Here is a 25,457-nt window from a genome sequence, read left to right as displayed (position 1 = left end):
GGACCTGGCTGATTTTGTATTTTTAGTAGTAACGGGGTTTGTCCGTGTTAGGCTGGTCTCGAACTCCCAACCTCAGGTGATCTGCCTGCCTCGGCCTACTAAACTTTTAGGATTACAAGCGTGAACCACTGCACCCAGCCAGGGATTGGCTGTTTTAAGTAACAGTTATCAAGGTGCTAGATAATATTTTAAGACACTTTGAGGTATGAGATTAGGCAAGGCACACGAGGTGGACAGGTCTGACGCGGGCAGTCTGAGCATTTCTCCAGCCCCCGCGGGTTTCCTCTGTCCCAGCCCTCTGGCCACATGCGGGGTGGCCACTGCTCCGACCTCTCTTGGTGATGGCTTTTCTGTGGATGACATGAGACAGTGGCAGTTCTGCTTGTCCCTCCAGACAAGCCAGGAAGACACTTTTAAAACTCAAGGCCTTTTCCCAAGAGTTCCTCTGTCCCTCCAGTCTCCCCCTCCCCACCCCAGAAGCTACTTTTAACACCCAGGGTCTTTTCCCCAGTGTCTTGGTGCGTCTTGGCTCTCTAGCCCTTCTGTGCGCCTTTGCCGGTCCCTCAGGTGTCCACGTGTCCCCACATCTGGCTGCTGCACGGGTCTGTGTTCCTGCTGTGCCAGCCCCTGCCCGGTGCTGGAGAGGGTGGAGAGCGAGGCAGACACACCTCACCGTCTGGAGGGACAGTGAGACAGACCTCACAGGCCTGCGAGGGAGGTGGGACATCATCAGGCTCGTAGAAAGGTGTGACCTTTCCCTCCCCACCCAACCCTCGAGGACTCCTGGCCCCCAGGCTCTAGTGCTGGAGGCTGAGTTTGGCCACCTTGGCTCTGGGCCCAAGCGGCCTCCTGCTGGCAACATTTCCAGGATGCCGTGATCTGCAGCATAGTCCTGCCCCACTCCCTCCCAGGAGCCCAGAGGCCTGTTATTCTGAGGTCTGTGGTTTCTAATGAAGCCTGACCCATGGGGACAGTGTCAGTGAGCACCTGCCTGGTGGTACACCTCTGGCCACCGGGACTCTGTTAACGACCCTCCCGTGGGGGCTGTGAGGTCGTGCCTGCCACTGCCCGGGAGGCTCCAGCTGGACCGAGTGTGTGTGGCGTATCCGCAGCCTCCCTCATCCCTGCCTGTCCCCACGGTGCCTGGCAGGTGCTGGGGGCCTGGTGCAGAGCCTCGCTCTGACGCTGAACAGAGGTTGGGAGAGGCGGAGGAGCCGCATCTGGGCTTGTCCTCTTGGCAGCACCCAGCGCCTACACCTCACATGGAAATGGGGCTCACCAGTGAGTGGAGACTCAGATCGTGAGGCCTCAGGCGGGAAGGGCCCCAGAGCCACCTGGTCCAGCTCGTCCTGGTGAATGCTGTGGCGGGGCGCCTGCCCTGGGAGCCTGCGCCGGGAGTGTCCTTGCGGCTGGGGCTGGTGTGCCTCTGCAGGAGCCCTGCCGTCACCGTGCGACTCCACTTGGGCCCATCTCCCTCGAGTCCACCTGTGCTGTGATGGCAGCCGCCTGTCTTCCTTGCTGGGCCTCCCCACGTCAGGTCTGCGCCTGCCCTAGAGCAGGTGCAGGGGTGAAGACCTTCCTCGCCCCGCCCTGGAGGCCACACCAGCCTGTTGGGATCCTTTTCTGATCCCTGCCTGCAGCCTTGGAAACGGAAGCAGCTCCTGAGGCCCTGCTGTCCCCCGAGTTCCTCCCATGGGGGCTCGCAGGCTGCCTCCCGCCTCCTGTCCCGCACCCCCTGTCTTTCTTGGCATATACTCTTGTTTACAAGTCTCTCTCGAAGTGATACTCTCAGATAATTATTATGTTTCTGAAACGCCTTGGTTTTGTGTTGTTGGGGAAACAGAGCAACAGAAGACACAGTTCCTGGCTCTGAGGAAGCCTCTGGGTGGGGTGGGCAAGAGTCAGACCCGTGGGGGCACGGGGAGTCTGGCAGAAGGCAGCGCCCTGGGTGTGGGGCTTCCGCTTGGTTCCTGCACTGCGAGTGCCTCCTCCCTGTGCCAGGCTCTGGAAGCCGTGCAGATTGCAGGGTGGTGACCCCAAGGCTGCGCCCCCAGGCTCTCCAGGGTGTGGCGGCCAGTCCTAGGCTTTCTCAGAAGGTGGTGCTGGCTGTGGAGGCAGAGGCTGCTGCAGCGCAGCCTTCGTTATCAGCTGGGAGGAAGTGGTGGCGGGTGTTGAGCTGGGTCAGACTTTAGGAGGTGCCATTTGCTGTAACATACAGGCGGGGCTGTTGGGGTAAGCACACGCCGCAGCCAGTCTGTAAGGAATGGTCCTGAAGGACAGGCAACTGGGGAAGGGAGACTGTGTTGGGCAAAGCCAGCAGGTGGAGAGGGCCAAGAGAGGGGGAGGTGGCCTTACCATAGACCCAGTGTGGGGCGTGGGACTGCAGGAGGCTCCACTTCATTTGGAGGAGTGAAAAGGCAGGTGCCACCTGGTCCCCAGGGAGAGCTGGAGGGCCTGATCTGAGGATGGAGAGCATGAACTGGGGCTCCTCCACCTGGGGCATTGCTAGGGATGCCTTGGGCGCATGCTGGGAGGAGGTGGAGTGAGGAGGATGCTGAGGGCGGCTTTCAGGGAATAAGGAGCTCCTGGTTGGATGCTTGGAAGGAGGGGAGATCCCAGATCAGAGTCCTGGACCCCAGCGAGGAGCCAGCAGGAAAGAGCCTAGGGGTCTGGAACAGTTGTCGTGGGACGTGTGTGGCTGCCATCTGTGTGAGCTGTATGGGTGCAGCCAGGACTGTGCTGAGGGGTCCCCTGCTGGACTGGCAGGCTCTCCCTCCTCAGGAGCACTCTGGGTTTCGGGGTGCATTGTCACTCAGCACAGGTTACCCTCCAGAGCTCCAGCCCTCTGTCCTGCAGCTGTAGCCCACCTGCCACTAAGTCAAGGGCTTGGAGGCCTCTGATGTCTGCATGTGGGTCAGAGCTCGGGCACGTGCTGTCCCCACAGTCGGGACCTGAGAGCTGCCTGGGGTCAACTTGCACAGGGCCAGGAGGATGTAAAGAGCTGCTCTTGTGGCGTCGTCCAGCTTTGGCCAGCTACAGAGAGTGTGCGCCCCACGACAGCTCCTGCTCATCGCATCTGGGTGGGAGATGGAGGACTCTCACCCCGTCCTAAACCATGTGGGCCACTGTCAGAAAGGGTGGGTGATGGAGATGCGATAGGGAAGGCGCTGCGGAGAGCCATGGCCTGGGAGCTTCTCATGTCTGTGAACCAGGGGCGGGGCACTCCTTTGGTCACTTGTTTTGGGGGGATAATGGAGAGGGAGAGGAGGGCACTGGGACAGGAGAAATGTCACAGTAGATGAAACACAGCAGGAGTCCAGGCTGCCTGGCCTGAACCTTCTTGCTTTGTGGAAACACGGCTTCACCAAGAGCACCGGGCAGCAGTCACCCTGAAGCCCTGGAGCTCGAGCCCAGCCGCTCCTGCTTGTCCGCGCAGGGGTCTGGGAGGCAGACCGTCACGTGGGGCTGGAGGCTGGGGCGAGCCCAGGCAGCTGGGCGTGTGGAGCTTTTGGCCTTGATGGAGGACGTCTCAGCTCCAGGTCTGCACTGCAGGTCAAGGAGAGAGACGGGAGGCACAATCGCGGGGTGGCTTCTCCTCTGAGAGCAGGCTGTGACCCAGACGGCTGTGGAATGCTAGGGACGTGTCTGCGCGTGCCTCACGTCACCTGTGAAATGCCTGTGAGATATGACGTGGCTTTTGGAGGGATGTGCTTAGCTGGTGGTAGCCCCTTATCCGGAAGGAAGACTGTGAGCCGAGCCTGCTCCTTGGCGGCATGAACCTGCCATGGAGGCAGTGTGTGGGCAGCAGTATGTGGGCAGGGGCTGGGAGGGACGGCCCTGTTCCTTCACTTCCGTCACCTGCCCCAGGGAACTTGGACATCGAGGGCCTGTCACCAACAACAGCCTTGATAGTGCTTGCTGGGGAGAAAATGCTGGCCCAGTGTGTTGAGTAGTGTGTATCTTGCCGCGTTCATGCCACGCACTACGGATGCTGGGCAGACCCCTGTGTGCTCACCGCGCCCACACGGCCAAGCTCCCGTGGCTCTGACACACCACTCAGGGCTGACCTCCTGCTTCTGGGAGCCTGATGGCAGCACAGGGGGAGGTCCTGCTGGTCAGGAGGGAGGGTTCACCTGCACAGTGTGCCGTGTAGATCTGTGACCGCCAACCACGTCCTGCGTGTGTCAGGCTCAGGCCCCGTTCTGCAGAGGAGCCCCCAGAGCAGGGCTGGCACTGTGCCCTGGATGCTGCCCCATCCACTCCAGTGGAGGGTCTGACAGGCTGTGGCTGAGTGGCACCCCTGGCAGCACAGCGTCCGGCATTGTGGTCAGGAGTGGCCGGCTGGCGGCTTGGGATGAGTGTCGGGTGCACAGGGTGGAGGGTGGGTAAGGGGCACTGAGCTGGCCTGATGGGCTGGAGCCTCCTAGGGCAGTTGGGTGGCCTGATCCTCTCCTGTCCTGCCCCATGCTGAGGGACACTAGGGAACATTTGGGGGTGTACTTGAGGGGCCATTGCTGTGCAAGGGACTGGGGCCAGGGATGCTGAGTGTCTGGCAGTTGTTGGGATGTTTGTGGATACAAGTGAGTTGCTTTGCGCCAAAGGCCAGTGGGGCCCTGTGGATACACACACTTCATGGTTGGGTGCTTCCTGCTGCTGTCCTCTCCCTGGCAGGGCTTCTCTCTTCTCTTACCCCTGTGTTAGTTCACTCTCACAGTGCTAGTGAAGACATACCCGAGACTCGGTGATTTATAAAGGAAAAAGGTTTAATTAACTCACAGTTTATCATGGCTGGGGAGGCCTCAGGAAAATGACAATCATAGTGGAAGGGGAAGCAAACACGTCCTTCTTTACATGGTGACAGGAAGGAGAAGTGCCGAGCAAAAGGGGGAAAAGTCCCTTATAAAACAGTCACCTCTCTCGAGAGCTCACTATCACGTGAGCAGCAGTATGGGGGTAACTGCCCCTGTGATTCACTCACCTCCCATGACATGTGGGCATTATGGAAACTACAGTTTCAGATGAGATTTGGGTGGGGACACAGTCAGACCATATCATATCATGCCTCCTCCTTGTGAATGGGCAGCTGCCTGTCTGTAGAGACCACGACCATGTGGGTGGCCTCTGTTTGTGGGTTTCTCCCAGCCTCTGTGCCGTCCGCACCAGCAGTGCTTGTGGAGCTGGACTGCCTGTTAGTTTGCACAGGGGTTGACTTGGCTTGGGAAGGTGCCCTTGGGAATGGGGTGCAGCTTCCCTGCAGAGCCTTGCTCCTCCCTGACGGTGGCCCCCAGGGCCCGCTAGACTGTTCAGGAAGGAGGGGCCTGGGGAACGTGGATGTTGCAGGAGACTCTTAGCTGCTTCTGGTCTTTCCTGCCCGCTTTGGCTGCCTGCCTGGCTGCCTCTGCCAGGCCTATCTCTAGAAAAGGCTGTGTTCCCAGCGTTAGAGCCTGGATCCCTCTCCTGCTGCATTGGGAGCTCCCCAAGGTCGGGTTTCCTTGTCTTCGGGTGGTGCCCAGTGCTGTGCCATGCTGGGTGTTTGCTGTGGGCCTTCACTTGTTCATTGCAAATACTTCTTTGTCTCCACTGTCCTCTTTACCAAGGGCACACTTCAGGATCTCCTGGGACTTTGTGCAGCACCGCCCAGGCCTGCAGAGGCAGGGTGCAGACCACCTCGTACTTGGTGATGTGCCTGCCTCCTTGGCTAAGGCCCTCTCACTAACTCTGGGACATCCAGACGCCTTCCTCCCCGTTGGGTCTGGTGGCCTGTCCTGCTTCTTCCTCAGGCTTCTTCTCTGGTTTTTCTGCTCCAGTCCGATGGACCTGGGCCCCCTGCAACAGTATGACACATGGCCTGTTACTGCTTTTCCGCTGACCGCCACCTCCTGCAGCCCTGTGTACACACAGGAGCCCCCCCCCCCCCCAACCCTCTGGCCTGCCACGTGTGGGTACCTGCCTTATCCAGGCCCTGCCCACCTGGGGTCTTGCTGGGGACACCTCGGTTTCCCTGCCCTGGCATTCATCGTCTGCGCTGGCTCTCTGGGGGCTCCCCAGTCCTCCCTGGCAAGGCTCTTGTCTCTTAGAGGACAGAGGCTCCTTGTCGCTCCCGTTCAGGAAGCGTTTGTTCAACACCTGCTGTGTGCAGCCCACTTTAGGTGCTTCAGGAATATGAGATGAGTCAGGCCTGAGTCTTGTTCGTCCTCCCGGCACTTGGCACACACACAGCCGCCTGCCCTCCAGCTGCACCCACGCACTCCGCTCCCTGGGCCTGGCTCTCGCTCCCTTCTGTGCTGGGAAGGGGCACAAGAGGATCCTGGAGCTGGGGCCACTGGGAGCAGCAGCCAACACGTCAGTGTGGACAGTGAGGTCCTGCTCACGCCCTTCAGCTTTTTCTGTGGTCACCTTGGCCCTTATTTAGTGTTGAGGAAACAGAGGGATATTCGGGTTAGGGAGTGTGGTTAAGTGGTGGGCAGTGGGGCTGGGCCCCATTCCCACTGAGCCTTATCCCCCCTCCACCGTCTCCGGCAGCGCAGCCGCATTCTGTGTTTAGGTGGTGGGGTGCTGGCAGGAGAGGGTGTGGGCCTGGGGCAGGAGGAAGGGGAAGTGGGACAGCCCGCCCTGCTCTGAGAGCTTCTTCCCGCAGGGCCCGCCACCGTTCCCCTCCTGATGGCAGCACCTCAGTGCGTTCCCTCTGCTCCGAGCGCTCCATGCAGGTCATGCGCGGCAGGTCCTTCTGTTTGGCCAGGAATAGTCCTGACCTTGGGGGCAGGGCCGTGGCTTCCCTGGATGTGGCCATGCGGGAACCATGCAGACTGAGTGTCCACAGGCCCGGCATTGACACGCCATGTGGAGCCTCTATCCAGCCTCCTGTGACCGGGGAACACGCGGGGACCCTGTCCAGCGCCTCCTCTGATCCCGGAACACACGGGGACCCTGTCCAGCGCCTCCTCTGACCCCGGAACATGCGGGGACCCTGTCCAGCGCCTCCTCTGACCCCGGAACACGTGGGGACCCTGTCCAGCCTCCTCTGACCCCGGAACACGCGGGGACCCTGTCCAGCACCTCCTCTGACCCCAGAACACGTGGGGACCCTGTCCACCGCCTCCTCTGACCCCGGAACACGCGGGGACCCTGTCCAGTGCCTCCTCTGACCCCGGAACACGTGGGGACCCTGTCCAGCCTCCTCTGACCCCGGAACACGCGGGGACCCTGTCCAGCGCCTCCTCTGACCCTGGAACACGTGGGGACCCTGTCCAGCGCCTCCTCTGACCCCGGAACATGCGGGAATTGCTGGGAAGGGTCCTGAGCCAGCGCCCCGTGGTGTGAACGTGGCCTCATGTCCTCCTGCGGGAGTGCTTCCGCAGTGTGCCAGTGGTGGGCCCCGGCTTCTGGGGGAGCCTTGGGTCGCGGGGCGGGGATACAGACTGAGCTGGCGCCTCCAGCTGTTCGGGCTCTGATGCAGGTCTCCCAGGCGCTCTGCTCTTCTCTGCTGCACTGGCCCGTCACTGTTTCTACCCTGGGAACAGATTCTTCCGGAAGGTTCCCTGCTGCTGCAGCGGTGCTCACCGGAAGGCGGGGCTTCGAGGCCCTTGTGTTTGCAAAGCAGATTCTTACCGAGATCCCAGAACTACCTGTGGGCCTCAAAAGATGGGTCTGACAAGTGTCTTGTGTGAAGGGCCAGAACGGACTCTTTGGGGTTTGCCGGGCAGGTGGTCTCTGTCGAAGACGCTGAACTCTGCCATCGTGCTGTGAGAGCGGCAGCGGCGATTCGTATTTGATTCTGGGTGGCTGTGCTCCATCAAAACTTTGTTAAAAAAACAAAAGTTGTTTACAAAAACAGGCTGTGGGTGGGATTTGGCCACAGGCTGTAGTTGTTGGACCCTGTTAAGAAACCACCGTTCAAGTCGTAGCCATGCTCATCTTCATGAAGATCCTTCTGCCACGTGACGTCGGCTTGGGCCTTGCTGCAGGGAGGTGACCCGCAAGATTGATCCCGGCAGCCAGGCTTTCATTTCTCGCAATTGTCTCTTTCAGGAAAGATGCCCTAGGACCATACACTTTGTGGCCTTAAGGAGGATGGCGTCCTCTGGTGTTGGCCCCGGCTGGGCGGTGCTGCAGGGTGGGAGCTGTGCTCTGTGTAGGGAAGGCCCCCTGGTTCCCTGCTCAGACCGTGGGCTGGCTCAGGGCTCTCCCGCCCGAGGTGTGTTGAGATGGCCTTTGGGATGAGTCATTACCATCCGGCCATTTGCCCTTTTGTCTTTCTCATGTGTCTGGCATGTTCTTCTGGGAACTTTTCATTTTGACATAATGTTACACTGACAGGAAAGTTGCAGAAGTCGTGGAGAATGTTTCGACGCACCCTCCGCCAGCTTTCCCGAGGGTAACGTCTTGTGAGCCCGTGTACAGTTATCAGAAGCTGTAAGGCCTGGGTGCAGCAGGCGCGGGTCCTGACTGCGTTCAGGTCTTGCCGGCTCTCCCACTGAGCTCCTTTTTCTGTGCCAGGATCTGGCCTGGGATCCCCATGGCGTTTGGTGGCCCTGTCCTGCCCTGCACTCTGGGACAGGAGAGAATCTGCTCCTCGGTCTCTCCTGTCGTCGTGACCCCGCCTCTTCGAGAGCACGGGCTGGTGTTTTGTGGATGTTCCTCAGTTGGAGCGAGTCTGATGTTATACATGATTAGGTTGAAGCTATGCATTTTTGGACAGAAAATCTTAAAAGGGATGTCATGTCCCTCTGGGTGTGTGATGTCGGGGTGTGCGACATCACCATGTTCTGTTGCGGGTGTGGTCACTCCGGTCACCTGGCGAAGGCCTCCCTAAATGCATGGCTGCGGCTTTTGTTCTGATAATAAGTATCTTGGGGAAGATGCTTTGAGAATATGCAAATATCCTATTTATTTTATTTTATTTTTTTGAGATAGAGTCTCGCTCTGTTGCCCAGGCTGGAGTGCAGTGGTGTAATCTTGGCTCACTGCAACCTCTGCTTCCCGAATTCAAGCAATTCTCCTGCCTCGGCCTCCCAAGTAGCTGGGACCACAGGCGCCTGCCACCACGCCTGGCTAATTTTTGTATTTTTAGTAGAGAGGGGGTTTCGCCATGTTAGTCGGGCTGGTCTTGAACTCCTGACCTCAGGTGATCCACCCACCTCAGCCTCCCAAAGCGCTGGGATTACAGCTGTGAGCCACCGTGCCCAGCCCCCATTTCTTACAAAAACTTCTCCTCCTAGTTCAAGCATCTATTGGTGCATCTCAGCTGCGGGGCTTGTCACCATGGCCCCAGGGCGGTTTTCTGTCCGCCCGTCTCTTCCGTGTTTCCTGAGTGGGACGCTTTGCTGAGGGAGGCTCTGCCCCTCGTCCCCGTTTCCTGAGTGGGACGCTTTGCTGAGGGAGGCTCTGCCCCTCGTCCCCGTTTCCTGAGTGGGACGCTTTGCTGAGGGAGGCTCTGCCCCTCGTCGAGTAGGTTATTTGTGTCAGTTGCTTCCTTCTCTGTTTTACTTCACGGCCGTGACCCAGTGCTCTGCGGATTCGGTTCATTCACGGTATTTCAGCCTTGGTCACTGGGAGCTCTCACAGTTGGGCTCTCGTGCCCTGTGATTTGCCCTCATCTTTTTTTAAAGCCTTTTTTTTTTTTCAAACTATCTGGCACTGCAGGATGCTCTAAACTTAGATGTTTTTCCTGCCCTTTTCCTGCAGTCCGCCACTTTCCCAGTGAGCCCTGTTTCCTCTTGTTGCCGAGTGCTGCTTAGAGATGAGATGTGGGTGTGGGGTGCTGCCTGCTCCGGGTGTGTCAGGGCCCCAGGGCCCCTCGGTGGACACCCTGACACTGGCTCCATCCAGCACCCCTGGGCTGTCCTCGCCTCCTGTGCTGTCTCCTTGGTCTTGAGAAGCCCAGGTGTCAGCACACACCATGTTTTACTTACCCATCCAGTCCTCACGTGCGCACAGGGTCTTTCTGGAATTGCTAATCCATGGCTCTGTGAGGAGAGGTTGACTTGCGAGGGTGCAGTGTCTGTGGACAGGCCGTTCTGTCCTTGGCCTACCGTTCCCAGTGGAAGTGGCGTTTTCTCAGCACCGTGGGTGCCGTTGTGTTTCCCACTGCCTGGTGTTGTGTTCTTTGTTTGTGGTTCCCTTAGGTTTACCGCTTAGAGCTGGTGTTTCATTTTGAGTCTTTTTCATTCTGGTTGATTAAAAAAAACTGTCTATACAGCCTCATTTGCCCTTCTGCTGTGCAGCTGCGCATTTTCACATGCCTGGGGCTGACTTGCGGCCCCACCACCCCAGACTCCCCTCCCTGGCCACCCCAGCATGCTTTCTGTCTGGTGATTTTGCCTTTTCCAGAACGTCATACAAATATGGCATCTTTGGCTCATGGAGGTGCATTTGGGACTCACCGCGTGGCTGTGTGAATCGCAGCGCTGCTTTTCGTTGCTGAGTGATGCTCCAGGCACGGCTGCTCTGGGACTTGTTTATTCGTTCACTGGTTGAAGGACATCTGTATTGTTTCTGGGTTTGGTGAAATGGAGTAAAGCTGCTGGAAATGTTGGCTTTGTATGATCTAAACTCTTACTTTTCCTTGAGCACATACTTAGGAGTGGGACTGCTGGATCCTGGCATCCTTTTAACTTCAGAAGACATTGCCTTGTGGGTCTCCACAGCGGGAAGCATCCGGTGTGTGCGTTCGCGGTGTGTGCGTTTGCTGTGTGTGCAGGTCCACTCCGCACAGGCCTGCTCCTGCTGGGCCACGCCAGGGTTTTGGGCTTAGCTGCCCCCACAGGGCTGTGTGGGCTGTGTGTTGCGTTTTCCAGCGTGCGGCTGCTGGCCCCAACCTGGCGTCAGACAGTTGCTGTGGTGCTTTCTGCAGCCCCCAGCCGTGTTGGCTTGCACAGCCCTCTGGACTTGTGGTCATCATGGAGTTGTAGCCCCTTTTCCCCACCTGATTTCCCACGTATCGGGATCAAATCTAAGCTGGTTTCGTTTTGCTTCCTCTCAAGTCTTTTGTCTTTCCTCCCTTCCTCCTTTTTCATTGATCTCTGTTCTCCGGTGACTTTAGGGAAAGACTGTACCTCATTCATTCCGAGGCACGCTCCTTGACTAGAGCAGAGAGCAAGGGCTGAGCAGCCACGGTCTCGAAAGCTCCTTGCCGCCTGGGAGGCTTCCACGCCTGGGACTGGGGGCTGGGCAGCCAGCGTGCAGAGGTGGAGGGGTGCATGGAGGCGCCTGCGGGCTCTGAGGCCTGGCTTCCCGAGCCCCTCTAGTCTTCATCTGTGGGACGATCACACAGACCGCATGGTGTGGGGGGAGCGAGGGGCGGGCACAGTGGACGCTCGGTGTGTGTGCTCCTCCTCTCTCCCTGTTTCTTCTTTGTTCCTCTTGTCTTTAATTTACTTTTCGTCGGAGGACTTGGCCGCAGCGTGCCCTGTGGACTTGAGACCGAAGCTCTCTTCTGCTCTTTGTACCCTGCTGCTTCCTGATCCGTTCTTCCTCCCCTCACTTGTGTACAGGACTCGAGGGAGGGATGGGGTGAGAGCAGAGCAAGCCAGGGATGTAGTGAGCTTTGTTTGGACAGGAAGGGTTTGCCCGCGCCGTCATCTCCTCGGCTCTGCTGGGAAACTGTGTTTGAGGGAGATGGTGGGGTCTGAGCGCAGACGGCTGTTGTCCTGTGAGATGCAGAAAGCGCTTCTTATGGGCGTGCACCATGGAATTCCCTGCTCGGACCGCACTGGGGGCAGGCGGTGAGTATCGGTATAGAAGTAGCTTTTATTAATTGGTGAAGCCCGTCACAGATCTGAAAGCATCTTAATAGTCTGAAATGATGGCTCTTCAGCAAGAAAAATTTGATTTGGGACAAAAGGGAGACACTTGAGACCCAAAATGACTTGGCTGTGTTGAGGATGGGAAGGAGGCCTTCATCTGCCGCACGTCTGAGTCACTCCAGAGTTTTCTCCACTGCCAGTGTGAGTCAGAGCGAATCACTGTTGGGTTGTGACTTCAGAAGAAGTGAACTCTGTCTCAGGCTGTATTAATAGAAGTAGATGCTTCACAGGAGAGGAGGTGTCTGTGCGAGTCACAGCCCTGCGGGGTCTGATTTCCGCTTTGGGCGTGGCTTCTGAGCCGGGACCTCGAGGCGCCAAGGGAACAGGAGCAGCCGGGCAGCTGCTCGCTTGGTTGTGCCTGCTGTGTACCGAGGCGTGGGGCATGGCGGCACGGCTGTGAGCGCACAGTCCAGCCACAGAAGGAGGCTTCAAGAATCTTTGCGGTGCTGCCATCTGGACATCTGTGTCATTGAAGTCACAGGAGGAGGCTTCAAGAATCTTCGAGGTGCTGCCATCTGGACATCTGTGTCATTTTGATAACGTGTGTGAGATCAGTGGAGGGGAGCCTTAGGAAAATCGGCTGTGGTTTAATAAACTGAACTTCCCGCTGCTTTGAGCCGGAGCCTCCTGGACTGGAAAGGCGTGGGCCTCATGGCCACCTCCGGCCTGCGCAGCTGGGTCTGCACTCTCACAACTGTGCTGAGCCCACGCTTGTGCCCTTACTAGTGGCCTGACCTCTGCGCTGTGGAGAAGGGTGGATATTGTCGCCAACTCTCAGACTTCTTGTGTGTGTTCAGAAAGTACCCAAACGGATTCAAAGGAATAATTAGCGTATCCTGTAAGATATGAATCTTAATTCCTAAATTACATATTTAGCAGATTGTCCAAAATAGCACTTGTAATGGCAACATTCAATTAGTTTAAAAAATGTATATTATTGCAACACTCGCCATGAGTTTTATTTAGAGGTTTCTAAATATAATGCTATAAAAACACAGAAGTGTTTAAAACTATTTAGACCCACGCAGCCGCAGTGAGCTCTTGCTAAACTTCCTACGTTAACCAGCTCTTGACAATCTTGGATTGTGGGGAAGTCTTCTGATGTAGTCCCTAAAGCTGACACGCCAGAGCATCTCGAGGCTGTTGGGGGCTGTTGCTGGGATCCTGAGGCCGCACACCTCCCTGCTATGAGTTCTGACGTTTACAAACATAGGAAGTGAGTTGAAATGACAGAGTCCTTGGGGCCCCACTCTTGAGTGTCCTCCTGGGGTTGGCGGGCGTGGGGCTCCCGCTGTGCCGGGTTCGGCTCCTGTGTTGCCGTGTTCCCTGCGGCTGCTGCAGCCGCTTCTCGTCACCTGATTGTGTGTGCGCCTCCAGTGCTCTCATGGGCTGCTTAAGGCAGGGACTATCCATGTGGCCTGAAGAAGAAGCCGAGGCCCGGGGAAGTTGCATGTAATTGACACCAGAGGGCTGGCCTCATTTCAGGAGGAGCAGAGCTCGGGTTTTCCGTCTAGGTGGGAGATGGGATGGTGATGGGCCCACAGGCAGGGCCTGTCCTCTGATGGGAATCCGAAGTGGGTGCGGAGGACCCAGAGCTGAGGGTGAGCAGCTCTGAGCTGCAGAGCGGGTGCGGGGAGGCTGTGTGCGCAGCACAGGGAGGCGTCTGGAATGGCCGGGTGGGGGTCTGGAACCCATACTTGGTAGCGCCTGTTTGGTCTGTCCCGTGCTCTTCCTGCGAGCCCTCGCGGGGGCCCTGCACTTCCCCAGGAGCTGCCTCAGAGATGTGCCAGTGAAGAAGGGATGGAACTGATCGTGGATCGGGCCGGCTCCTGGAGGCCACCTGGGCCCATTTCTGACAGCCGCTCCTGCCGCGTCCCTAGCTCAGAAGGAGCTCGAGGCTGAGCCGTTTCCCCAGGGCTGCTGCCTTTGTTTCTCCCATTCTGAAAGGAGATGAAAGTTTCTACTGACCTTAGAGAGAAAGCCAGAGTGAAACCCCCTCTGCCAACCCCTGGCTCCCTGTGAAAAGCCTTCCTGGTAATCAAGTGTTTACAGAGGAAGGCTTTGTTCAGACCCTTTCTGGGGCTCTGTATGTTTAAACAAAGAGCTTTTTAGACCTAAACACAGATGTTCATTTGAAAATGAAAAATCAAATTAAGCAGAACCAGCCTTTGAAAGTTAATGCCCTATAGCAAGTAAAACAAAGGGAGAAAAACACTGTGTTGTAAATTTTACTTAAATAACTTTTTATTTTAAATAAAGTTTTAAACTAAAAAAGTATAATTTGAAAGCCACTCATCTTCCTCTCTGTCCTCCAGTAGAACATCTGTGCTGATTCTGACGCGGATGAATGACATGAATTAAACCAAAACCGTCGGAGCGCTCTTTTTACCATAATTACACCTTGTTCGTTTGTGAGACACAATGTGGGGATGAAATGCCAATTAAGCCTGCTATGATAATGAGGTGGGGCCTGAATAGTGATCAGCGGACATGAATCCCACCGGAATTCATTTGCTACAGCCCCCAAGTTTGTTCTCTTCTGATGGGAATGTTATCGTACATAATGAAAATCTTTAGTGCTCCTTGTATTTAAAAATGATCCATTTTGGGGTTTTTGGTCAGCAAGTTTTAAAACAGGTGTTTTCCGAGCACCTGGATGGGTTTCATGTCCCCACTGAGCATCCTGTTGGTGGGGGGTGGGGGGGTGCCGGTGTCTCCTGTCCCCTGCCTGGACTCTTCTGTGGAGAGCTATGGTGTCACAGCCCGGGACACAGTCCAGCGACATGTGCCAGGCACCATCCCCATGGGTGCCCTTGCAGGTCTGGGTGGCAGCTGAGAAACCATTTTCACCCATCACTGTGTCCAAGCATTTACCATCTCCGACCCTCAAATACCCTCTAATGTTTTGAAACATAGGAAGTGCGTTGAAATTATTGAAAGCACTGTGAAGGAAATGCTTTGGGTGTTGTGGAATGACAGGGTGGGAAAGACGTCACTGGGGGCCAGGCAGGGCCTTACCAGGAGGCAGCATCTGAGCAGAGGCCTGAGGGCAGCCGGGGGCTGGGCAGGGGTGACCAAGCGGGACAGACGAGCTGCTGGGACGCCAGCAGGGCTGGCACAGTGCGGGGATCACAGCATGATTGCAGCGGGCAGCTGTTGAAGACTGGAAGCGCGGCAGTGGCATGGTTACCTCACACAGTCGGAAGAGCGACCTGGAGAAAGAGGCCTTCGGGATGGGGAGCAGGAAGTGTGTCGGTGCGTGAGGATGCAGGGGTCCAGCGAAGAGGCTGTGGGTAGTTCAGGGGGAGGTGGTGGGGTGGCAAAGACCACCCTGCAGTGACCACATAATCCTCGAGGGCCAGCCCCCTCTGCCCCAGGGCTGCTGTGGCTTGGGCTGCAGCCTCTGGACTGGGCTTCCTGCCACCGGATGCTCCGGCAGCGAGACCTCACCAACTCTGACTGTCCCGCCCCACACACTCCTGGCTTACCGCCTGCAGGGAAGGTGCTTGCGACTCCTCTGTGTTGCTAGGGATGTTGGCCCTGCCTCCTTCCACGCCTCCCGGTGCGCTGCCATCCTCAGGCCCTCCGGCTGTCCCAGGCAGCCAGGTGCTGAGTGATGCTGTATGTGGGTGCCCTTCCTGTCCTTGGGAGCCAGGCTGTGGGGCCGGGCCCTGTGAGAACACACGGCGTCAGGAGCCTCCTGGCTCTTTCACACTAGACTACGCTCCTCTAGGGGACTGGGCCAGCTGCGTTCTGGACCCCCGGGCCCCTGCCCAGGTCTGCACTCAGCTGTCTCTCAGCCAGGGCCAGGAGGGTCTCCATCACGAGTCCTCCTGGGGGCTGAAGGGTGACTGGCTCCCAGCTGAGAGAGCCGGCTGCAGCATGGACTCATGACAGCTGGGGAGGGGCAGCCCTGCAGAAGGGACTGAATGGTGACTTTCCTCTCTCAGGTTTCGTGGAGGCCCTACAGCCCATGCGGGACAACACGTTCCAGTGCAGCTGCAGGCGTCTTTTGCGGGATGGGCCGAGAGTGTGACGGGCTATGCTAGCCTGGGTCTGGTGGGCTGGAGAGGAGGGAGGCGGTCTCCTAGGAGGGATTTGTGCCCCTGGCCTGCCTTCTCCCCCCACCCCTGGGAGAGTGGAGCTCACGTGTCCTCCTTGGTGTTAGGCAGGGTTGGAGAGGGAGCCTCGGAGAGCCTGCTGGCTTGGCACAGGTTTCCAGGAGCGCATGTGGGAAGGGCAGGGTGGGGCCGGGCCTGGGAAAGGGGGAGAGTGAGTGACCATGGCCGTCTCCAGGGATGGGCATGTATATCCGATAGAGAAGGAAGGGCAGGGTGGGGCCGGGCCTGGGAAGTGGGGAGTGTGAGTGACCATGGCCGTCTCCAGGGATGGACATGTGGATCCGATAGAGAAGCGGCCTGCCGTGCTCGCACCTTTCACGCAAGGCACCGACGCAGTGGAGGGGTGCTGCCGATGTGCCAGCACTAAGGGCCCAATTCCTAGCCTAGGCGTAATGGGGCAAGGGCCCTGTGCTGGGGGTGGGAGGCGGGACTGTGTGCTGGGCAGGGTGGAGGGGCGGGGCTGTGTGATGGCTGGCGCTGTGTGTGATAGATAGGTCTGGGGGGTGGGGCTTCGTGCTGGGCAGAATGGAGGGGCGGGGCCATGTGTGGGGCAGGGGCGGGGCCATATGTGGGGCAGGGGCAGGGGCAGGGCTGAGGTGTTGGTGCCCTTTGGTTGTGGGGCCGCAGCTGGATAGGGCTCTGGGACTGTGCTCCAGAAGGTGTTGCTAGGTGGCATCTGTGACGATGGGGGCCTTTCCTGCTGCCCTACCCTGGAGCTGGGGAGCGGGGTGGGTGAGGAGCGTTGAGGAGGAGAGAGCTGGAGCTGGTGGTACTGGGGTTTTGGCTGGGCGTCTCACGTGCCTGGACTTTCTGGTCTCATCTGGAAGGTGGTCTCTTACTGGACCGTGCGGGGGTGAGGAGACAGGCCGAGGCCACCAGGTAAAGCAGGGCTGTGGTGAGAGAGGCCCCATTTTCCCTCAGAACCTTCACAGTGCGTGGCTGGCCTTGGCAAGGCTGCATGGCTGGTCCCAGGGCTTCCTGGCCTCGTTACTTCCTGGCTTCAGGGCAGTGTAGGAGCAGCCACAAAGCAGACATTTGGGTTGTCCTTTATGAATGCCTCGGGTGATGATCCACGCTCCCTGCCTTGCCCCAGCGCAGGCTGTGCCCGCCCACCCTCCCGTGGAGCCCACGCTTTGCTCTGCCTGCTGCTGCCAGGCCAGCAGAGACCGCCCCGTAGGGCACTGCGGTTTCTGCGGCCTGTTCTGCCCTGAGTGGCCTTCCTCCCCTGCTCTTAGCTGGGCCCCCTCACTCCACCTCGCTGCTGGCTTTGTTGCCTTTCAGGCTGTGACCACCTGAAGCCAGCTCGTGTGTTAGTGCCCTTTGTTAGTAACCAACCCCTTGTCGGCAGAGACCTTCCCTTTCTGCTCACTGGAATATCCCCAAGCAGGACGGTGCGGTGTTTGTGGCCTCAGAGAGTGAGGCTCTCCCGGGCTGCAGAGGCACAGCCAGTTTCTTCCCGGCAGACCTCTTTTCAGAACAGCCCCTCACTGCGGTGTCCGGCCCCTGGGGAAGCCGGGCTCTGACTGGGTGGGTCAGCCCTCAGGCTGTGCCAGGAATCCCATCTCCAGGCGGGCTGTGCGTAGTTCCCTTCGTGTTTTAACATTTAGGAGGTGAGCGGTTTCCTTCCCTGAGCTCCGGAAAGAGTCCCCAGGGCTTGCGGGGGGACCTACCCTGCATTGCACGTTGGAAGGAGAGGCAGCTGCAGGCTGAGCCCACATGGCTGTGCACGGCCTGGCGTGGGAGCTGCAGTGATTTATGTGACCTGTGCTCAGATAATTAAAGTGGGATTTGGCAGTGAGGTCTTTCATGGCAAAGGCGTTAGGGATGTCACAATGAGGCATGTAAGTATAAAACAGTTATGTTTTCAAAGGCGTTAGGGATGTCACAATGAGGCATGTAAGTATAAAACAGTTATGTTTTCAGGTTAAGAATTTAACGAGGAGTAAATTCATTTAAACCGAAGAGCTGGCTTAAGGGGAGCTTTCGTGGAAGATCTGTAGTTGCTGGCATTTCATTCCTTCTCATTTGAGCCCAGCCTGTCTCTGGTGGCAGAGCGCGTGTTCCGAGTGTCCAGGTGCCGCAGCCGCCCCCTGTAGGCACCAGCGTGTTTGACATGCGGGTCAGGGATCTGACGCAACAGGCCGCCTCCACATGCCAGACTGCGTCCCCCTTGGCCTGCTATTGCGCCGCCGTGACGGCTCTCCTTCGCGGAGGGGCGGGGCTGTGGGGGCTGTCTTCCTGTGTTTTCTCTCCGGGGCCTCATCTGCCTTCAGGAGCCTGTGCAGTGCCACTCGGGCTGAGCAGCCTCCGCCAGTGCACAGGGGACTCCGGGCTTGCCTCTGTGGAGGAGTTTGCCGCTATCTGCTCTGCCTTTGTCCTGGTTCCCCAAATGGAGGCCCAGCCTGCCGTGGTTCTAATCCAGGTTTCTGGTCATCAAAGCAGCATGCCTTTAATAACAGATATGGCCTGTTGTGCAGTTGGCCCGGAGAGCTCTGATCATTACTTATCTGCCACGAGATGCTTTTGCTCAAGGCAGGCTGCTGAGGAGCACACTCCTTACCTTCATTGAATGATTTCCAGACACCGGCTGCATATTTGATTCTCTGCCATGTGTCTGGGGGCCTCTTTCTCCGACGTCCAGCGGGGTGGAGTGTTGTATGGCGTGGCATCAGAACTGGTGGTCTCCCCGCATTCCTTGCCTTTTCCCACCCCATCTCCAGAGTCCGGACACCACCTGTGAGACTGTCCCTCTGCCTGGGGATGCGGAGGGACTCCGTGCACAGTGGTTCAGGGGGTCTGCTTATGCCACACTGCTGGGATCTGGGCAGGGAGGAGGACAGCACCTGCCCTCTGAGTAGCCGCCTCCCTGGCTCCTCCTCGTGGCCGCTCCCTCCTTCTCCCCTGTGGGATCGAGTCTCAGTGTTCTGGCTGTGCTGCCCGGCTCCTGAGAGGCCTTCGCAGGGGCTCCCAGGGCTGCCTGGTGGTGGGCTTTGCCCCAGTGCTGGCCCATCTGCGGTTGCCCCGCCCAACAAAGAGCACGGTGGTCGAGAGCCCCGCCGCTGTGCAGTGGCCTCGGGGGCGGGTGAGATCTGCTGCACTGCTGTATCGCCTCACCCTCTGTCCTCTCAGGTGCTCACCCACTTCTTCCAAACAGAAACGTCATCACTAGGCATGGCGATGTCCCATGTGCCGTCTACTGAGCGGCGGGGCAGGCAGGCCCAGGCCTTCACTGAGTGCAGGAGCGCAGGTATGACTGTGTGTGCAGGGCCCGTCGGGGCAGCCATGGCTTGGGCTGCGACCCGGCCCTCAGCGTGGCCGGATGGACGGCCTCCCTCTGGACACACCATGTGGGCTGAGAGCTGAAGCGTGGTCGGAGCTGCCCCTTTGTAGGGTGCAGGGGCAGGGGAGAGAGCCCGTTCCAGGCAGAGGCAGCAGCAAGCGCAGGGGCCCTGAGGTGGGAGAGGACGCGCGTCTCCAGCAGGCAGGCAGCGTGGCCAGGCCTGACCCAGCGCTGACCCAGGTGTTGGCAGCATCACGGAGGCTGCCTCCTCTGAGTTGTGGAGCTGATGTCCTGAGAGGGGACAGTGCCACCTCTGCCGAACCTGTTTTCTCCGTGTGCCTTATACACCTGAGGAGAGGCCCGCTTTAGGAGTGGGTAGGAGAAGACGCCATCTCTGGGCATTGTCTCTGGAGTGACAAGGATGCGTCTCATGCTGAGGATGGCGTGGAGAGTGGTCCTGAGAGTGCTGGTGACGGTGGAGACGGTGACGGCCATGATGGTGCGAGGGTGGCGGTGACCGTGGTGTCACTGATGGTGACAGTGGTGATGGTGGGGACGTGGTGAGAGTGCTGGTGACGGTGGTGATGGTGTGGAGAGTGGTCCTGAGAGTGCTGGTGACAGTGGAGATAGTGACAGTGGCGATGATGGTGCGAGGGTGGTGGAGACCGTGGTGTCACCGATGGTGACAGTGGTGATGGGGATGTGGTGAGAGTGATGGTGACAGTTGTGATGGTGACGGTGGTGGTGATGGTGACGTGAGAATGGTGGTGATGGTGGTTATTGGTGACAGTGGTGAGTGGTGACAGTAGCAGTGGTGGTGAGTGGTGACAGTAGCAGTGGTGGTGAGGGTGACAGTGGTGATGGTGACATGGTGAGAGTGCTAGTGATGGTGGTGGTGATGGTGACGGTGGTGATAGTGACGGTGGTGATGGTGGCGGTGGTGATGGTGATGGTGACGGCGGTGATGGTGACGGTGGTGATGGTGACAGTGGCGGTGGTGGTGGTGATAGTGATGGTGGTGATGGTGACAGTGGCGGTGGTGGTGGTGGCGGTGGCGACGGTGGCGGTGGTGACGGTGACGGTGGTGATGGTGGTTGTGGTGACAGTGGCAGTGTTGGTGATGATGGTGGGTGCAGTGGCAGGACTTGGCATCTGTTGAGAGTCTGCCCTGTGACTGGTGCCAGGACCTAGCCTGCGTTTTCACCTTATCCTGTGCTCTCAGCCTCTTCTGCTGGGGAGACTCAGTCCTGAGTCAGACAGGAGGGTCCAAGGTCAGCGAGGCTGTGTGATCTGCCCACTCCCACCCATGGCAGATTCAGACCTCCAGTCAGGGTCTTCCCAGCTGCAGAGCCCCCTGTGTGCACTGGACTGCACTCCTCCTTCTCCTGCCTGGTATGTGTTTATCCAGCATGTGTCAGGCGTGGGCCAGCTTGGGCTGTGATGGTGACTGAGACAGCTGTGGCCCTGTGTGCACGGAGCCAACAGTCTAGTGGGTGAGCAGCATAGAAGCTGTTCACTTTGGTGAGCATGGAGCCGGTAGTCTGGTGGGTGGCAGCATAGAGGCTGCTCACTTTGGTAAGTTGAGGGAAGAAGCGTCTTTGTTCTTTACTGGCTCTCAGGGTCCAGGTGCACAGCCTCCTGGATGGAGGCCCTTTAGGAATGGAGCCCCAGTCTCACGCCAGGCACCCGGATGGAGACCCTTTAGGAGTGGAGCCCCAGTCTCCTGCCACCCACCTGGATGGAGACCCTTTAGGAGTGGAGCCCCAGTCTCATGCCACCCACCTGGATGGAGACCCTTTAGGAGTGGAGCCCCAGTCTCATGCCACCCACCTGGATGGAGACCCTTTAGGAGTGGAGCCCCAGTCTCATGCCACCCACCTGGATGGAGACCCTTTAGGAGTGGAGCCCCAGTCTCATGCCACCCACCTGGATGGAGACCCTTTAGGAGTGGAGCCCCAGTCTCATGCCACCCACCTGAATGGAGACCCTTTAGGAGTGGAGCCCCAGTCTCGCGCCAGGCACAGTGGCTGTGGCCCTTCCCCCCAGGGCAGACCCCATAGCACAAAAGCCCGCATCCTCTTTGGTGTATGAATGTTCCCACAGTGGAAACTAGGGTTTTTCCAGTCCCTTGTGACAAAGGATTATGAGTTTTTTCCCATTGAAGGGGAGCAAGTTTCTGAGGGTGGGAAGGAAGCCGTTGAAAACAAATTGGCAGCACTCCCCCCATCCTCTTGCTGATGGGGAAAGTGGTTAATTAGGTGATTTTTCTCTTCCCCTGACACGTGCAAATGAGGCTTCGTTAATAACTGCACTGTTACAGAAATGATACGACTTTAACACCAACGTCAAGTTGTCAGGCGTGTCTGCAGAGTGGAGGTGGGGGGCACTGGAGGCCCCTGCGCCCCTCCCGACAGGAGTCATGCTGGAGCCGCGCCTCCAGTCGCTGGGGCTTGGCCTTGGGCAACGAGCTGTTCCCCTCCCACCCTCCAACCCCCTTCAGGGCCAGCTTAATTATTTAAAACTGATGATAAAAACAGAATGAGCTGCCAAGATGAAGTGATGATTTGCGGCCAGGACCTGGGGCTTGGGTGGACGCGGCTCCCACTCTCCCTGCTTGCTGTGTGCTGGCCCAGTGCGGCCGTTTCCAAGGACGCCTTCCGGTTTGCAGCCAGGGCCCAGGACACGGACAGCATCTCTGCTCTCAGGTGTCAGGAGGCCTGCAGATGGTGCAGGGCCCGCTCAGGGCTTGTCCTGCCAGGACGAGGCAGACGCGCCGGGTGGGCAGGTGGGTAGGGTAAAGCAGAAGCAAAGCGGCAGTACCACAGAGCAAGGCACCAGCATTGTAATGTCTGGAGTGTGGCACCCCCTCCAGGAAGCAGGTGCTTCACGCTCAGAAGCGCCTGGCTGTGGCATGCTTCTTACTATCTGTCAGAAGGCTCAAGGTCAAAAGGCCGTGCTTTCTGCCATAGAGTTTCAAGAGTAAAGGAGAACGCGGAGATCTAGTCAGCTGGGATTCCTAGCTCTGCTCAGAAACAGGCTGGGCTTTGAGACCTTTTCCTCCTCATTTTCCCTGCTGGTCTGGAACAGAAAGTACTTGCAGCTGACTGCGCTGGCCGTCGTAAAGCAGTGTGCACCTGTCTCTCAAACCTCAATGGTTGCCTGGGATTTGCTTCTCACCTATGTCCTTATCCATCAACAGGTAGTTATTAAATGCCCATGTCCCTGAGACGGTTTTGGGCTTTGTGTGGCTGGGGGCGAAGTGTAAGGAATGACCTCTACCTGTAAGGAGCTCACAGCCAGCCCCTTGGCTTGAGCTGTGAGAAGTTTGAAAATCCATGTGCTAGGTTAGCCCAGATGACACCAAGAGCATTGGTGCTGGTTCTTCTGAGTCATGCCTGGGGCATCGAGGGCTGGGCTGGTGGGAGGTGACTCCTCACAGTCGGCAGCCAGTCCCACTGGGGATAGTTTCATGGCCAGAATGGCCTACCAGGGGCTCCTCCCTGCAGGGTTGAGAGCTCACGCCTGAGGACTGTTCACAGGAAGCCACGGCCCGGGTGCTTCCTGGGTCTCGGGTAGGAGTACCTCTTCTGAACCACGTCTAATGGGTTTTTTGAAGAGAAGAGAAATGAATCTCCCAGTGCTGACTTCTGAGATTCGGCTGTCTCCCAGCCCGATGCGCTCACTTCCGTCCACGCTCCCGCCTGGCCTCTGGGTGGCGGGTTGTTAGTACAGTAAAGATTGCTAGCTGTCTCTTTTGCAAATCTAAAATGAGATTTCATTTTTTTAAATAAAAAGAAAAAAGTGCTTGAACATTTGCAGCTGGGAGATAGCACAGATTAGAAACATTACTTATCTCTGCTGCACAAAAGAAGGCAGCGAGAGAGGAATAAATTGCTGTTGAATGCTAACGAAGCCAAGGCGGCAGGGGCTGCGGGAAACAACTCCTGTTGAGGAACAGAGCGAGCACCTGACCTGCACCCTCCACAGTGGGCCGGGCGCCGGAGTGCACAGGGCAGGCGGGGCTGTGGGTCCAGGTGAGACAGGCTGTGGCTGCTGCATGTTGACCTGGCGGTCGGGGTGGAGTCTGGTCACCAGTGTTAGCGGTGCGTTGGGGGATGCTCCTTCCTGGACCATGGGAGGCTGTGCTACCACTGCGCTTAGGAGCCTCAGTGAAGCTCACCCTCTTCAGCCACGTGCACTGGGGTCACTTGTGTTTCTGTCACCCTTGCCACCCATCGTGTCAGGAGGCCTCCGTGTCCATGCCAGGGTGCCCTCCATCCCCAGACATTCCGGCACCTTCCTGTTGTTTCCTCTATAAGAATTCCCACCTGCCCTCTTGGCTTAGCAAATTCCAGCTCAGCCTTTGAGGTCCAGTTCGAGTAGCGTCTTTTCTGACCCCTTTATTTGGCCCTCCAGGGGCTTTCCTTCTGTTCCTCCATTTCCCCTTGGGCCCACCTCTGGGGACGCCGGGCCTTGGTGCGTGATGCCTGGCGTGTGGTGTGAGCCCTGTGGTGTGTAGATCTTCATTGCCTCTGGCTCATGCCGGGCAGCTATCGGGTGTGGTAGTGCGCTCCCTTGGGCCTCCTGGAGCAGTGGCAGCAGGCGGCTCTTGCATGTGCCGTGTCCTCCGTGACCAGGGCTGTGCTGGATGGACGTGTCTGCCGTGCTGTGCTCCCTGCCCATTTGTTTGAGGGGGCCGTCCTTAGCGTAGCCTTCCTGACTTGTTAACCAGGCAAGAGACCATACACATGATGGCTTGGGTGACTGCTGCTGCGTACGGCATGGTTGGTGGGACCCCAGGCAGCAGGGGAGAGGGACCCTGGCTATTTGGATCTCTGCGGTGAGTGGGAGGGACTCTTGCCCACTTTGTGTCTGGTTGTCACAGGGTTTAGGGCCCGAGGTCTCTTGTTCCTGTCTGGACTGAGCACCTGGGTCCCCGTGGCGTGTGCTGCGCAGGCCTCATCTGTGGACGGAGGGTGTTTGCCATGCGCCTTCTGCGCAGAGGCCTGGTGTGTGACTGGCGCTCTGGTGCTACGGGGCTTTGGCAGAGGACGGCGCTGTGCAGTCAGCCCCAGTCCTGGGGCCTCAAAGACTCAAGGTCATTTTGAGTCCTCCAAAGCAAGGTGATTCCAAGTGTGTCTTCAGAGTCTGAAGTCGCGGGCGTCCTCACTGATCTGTCCTCTGTGCCCCGAGAAGACAGAGCTGTGTGGCATGGAGCCGCCGCATGAGTGATTCCGCTGCCTTCCTCCCGCTGGAGGTGAAGCTTCCTCTCAGTTCCGTCTTACTTTGATCCAGTGCGACACCGCGCTGCTGAGCGTGCCCTCCCCGTTGGTCTGGGAGACCTGAGTGCAGAAGCCTACAGCAGGGGCACCCCTTCTGCTTTCCCGGCCCTCGTCCCTTGCTGAGGAACACTGCCCAGGCATGAGCCTCAGAATGGGCTGAGTCTCGATGCAGGCGCTGCTCCCAGGGGTCCCAGACGCCTCTGCAGCCTCAAGGCCTCACTGTCTCCCTTCCCCACTCAGCACCACTCCCTGCTGGTCCGGGCAGCCCCTGCTGCTGCTGTGTGTCTCTTGCCTCATCCCCTGTGCCAGGGGCGTGCCCTTCTGCACCTCCAGAGGCCTGGTGCCCGTGGATGGCCGGCTGTGGCTGTGGGTGTCCGCACCTCCTGCTGCCTGGGTTCTCACCCTCATAGCTTCTCTAGGTGTGAGAAGCACTTTCTCATTCACTGCCTGGCTCCCAGCTTGGGTTCCTTGGCATTCTCGGACCCATTGTTCCTCGGCCCCATTGCTTTCTCAGTGGTGTGGACTGAGATGAATTGGAGCAGTCGCCTGTCTGAGGCCTGGGCGGAGTGAGACCCCCTCCCCAGGTGTCCCGGCTCTGGCCCCCACGTCCTCGCTGCCTGCATTGTGCTGCTTTGGATTTTGGGCTGGTTTTGAGTCCTGTCCACTTGGTCTTGGCTGAGGAGGCCTTAGCGGTCATCTCCTCTTGTGTGTCCCGGAAACAAGGACGTTGAGGCCTGAGTGGGGTGAGCGCGTGCTTGGGTGCCGTGGGGTGGGGTGTGGCAGAGCCAAGAGGGGTGAGCGCGTGCCTGGGCGCCGTGGGGTGGGGCGTGGTGGAGCCGAGTAGGGTGAGCCTGTGCCTGGGTGCCATGGGGTGTGGTGGAGCCAGGAGCCTGGAGGCTGCCCCCTTCCCCTTTCACATCTCCCGCCTTGCAGCTGGTGTGGGGGATACCCGTGGTGCGTTTATCATAAC

General features: G+C 58.3%; 1 protein-coding gene and 1 long non-coding RNA gene across 6 annotated transcripts in view, besides 8 other annotated features; one reads left to right on the top strand and one right to left on the bottom strand.

Annotated features, from left to right (window-relative positions):
- Nucleotides 1-25,457, top strand: part of MAD1L1 (mitotic arrest deficient 1 like 1) — a 417,151-nt gene that overhangs the window by 110,460 nt on the left and 281,234 nt on the right. The window lies entirely within an intron of this gene.
- On the bottom strand, nt 4,746-11,906 carry LOC105375127 (uncharacterized). Its single transcript, XR_001745063.2, has 2 exons — nt 5,971-11,906; nt 4,746-5,826 (listed from the first exon to the last, which is right to left on the bottom strand). It is a non-coding gene; the product is annotated as an uncharacterized LOC105375127 (long non-coding RNA).
- Nucleotides 11,348-12,547: an enhancer, noted in NCBI's record as "CDK7 strongly-dependent group 2 enhancer chr7:2149574-2150773 (GRCh37/hg19 assembly coordinates)". NCBI's record gives its function as "activates an origin of replication core promoter dependent on BRD2, BRD4, P300/CBP, MED14 and CDK7 cofactors, with strong dependence on CDK7, by STARR-seq in HCT116 cells {active_cell/tissue: HCT116}" and the evidence as "EXISTENCE:reporter gene assay evidence [ECO:0000049][PMID:35650434]".
- Nucleotides 11,348-12,969: a biological region, named in NCBI's record as "CDK7 strongly-dependent group 2 enhancer GRCh37_chr7:2149574-2150773".
- Nucleotides 12,065-12,969: an enhancer, noted in NCBI's record as "H3K4me1 hESC enhancer chr7:2149152-2150056 (GRCh37/hg19 assembly coordinates)". NCBI's record gives its function as "activates a minimal SCP1, AML or CMV promoter by ChIP-STARR-seq in primed H9 embryonic stem cells {active_cell/tissue: H9 hESC(primed)}" and the evidence as "EXISTENCE:reporter gene assay evidence [ECO:0000049][PMID:30033119]".
- Nucleotides 12,183-12,352: an enhancer, noted in NCBI's record as "active region_25507". NCBI's record gives its function as "activates an Ori minimal core promoter by ATAC-STARR-seq in GM12878 lymphoblastoid cells {active_cell/tissue: GM12878}" and the evidence as "EXISTENCE:reporter gene assay evidence [ECO:0000049][PMID:35858748]".
- Nucleotides 16,431-17,098: an enhancer, noted in NCBI's record as "H3K27ac-H3K4me1 hESC enhancer chr7:2145023-2145690 (GRCh37/hg19 assembly coordinates)". NCBI's record gives its function as "activates a minimal SCP1, AML or CMV promoter by ChIP-STARR-seq in naive H9 embryonic stem cells {active_cell/tissue: H9 hESC(naive)}" and the evidence as "EXISTENCE:reporter gene assay evidence [ECO:0000049][PMID:30033119]".
- Nucleotides 17,918-18,212: an enhancer, noted in NCBI's record as "tiled region #12408; HepG2 Activating DNase unmatched - State 12:CtcfO, and K562 Activating DNase matched - State 5:Enh". NCBI's record gives its function as "activates a minimal TATA promoter and a strong SV40 promoter by Sharpr-MPRA in HepG2 and K562 cells {active_cell/tissue: HepG2 | K562}" and the evidence as "EXISTENCE:reporter gene assay evidence [ECO:0000049][PMID:27701403]".
- Nucleotides 18,432-19,098: an enhancer, noted in NCBI's record as "H3K27ac-H3K4me1 hESC enhancer chr7:2143023-2143689 (GRCh37/hg19 assembly coordinates)". NCBI's record gives its function as "activates a minimal SCP1, AML or CMV promoter by ChIP-STARR-seq in naive H9 embryonic stem cells {active_cell/tissue: H9 hESC(naive)}" and the evidence as "EXISTENCE:reporter gene assay evidence [ECO:0000049][PMID:30033119]".
- Nucleotides 21,978-22,027: an enhancer, noted in NCBI's record as "active region_25506". NCBI's record gives its function as "activates an Ori minimal core promoter by ATAC-STARR-seq in GM12878 lymphoblastoid cells {active_cell/tissue: GM12878}" and the evidence as "EXISTENCE:reporter gene assay evidence [ECO:0000049][PMID:35858748]".

This window comes from Homo sapiens, chromosome 7, assembly GCF_000001405.40.
Source record: "Homo sapiens chromosome 7, GRCh38.p14 Primary Assembly".
NCBI lineage: Eukaryota > Metazoa > Chordata > Mammalia > Primates > Hominidae > Homo > Homo sapiens.
This window is presented reverse-complemented; position numbering and strand designations above follow the sequence as displayed.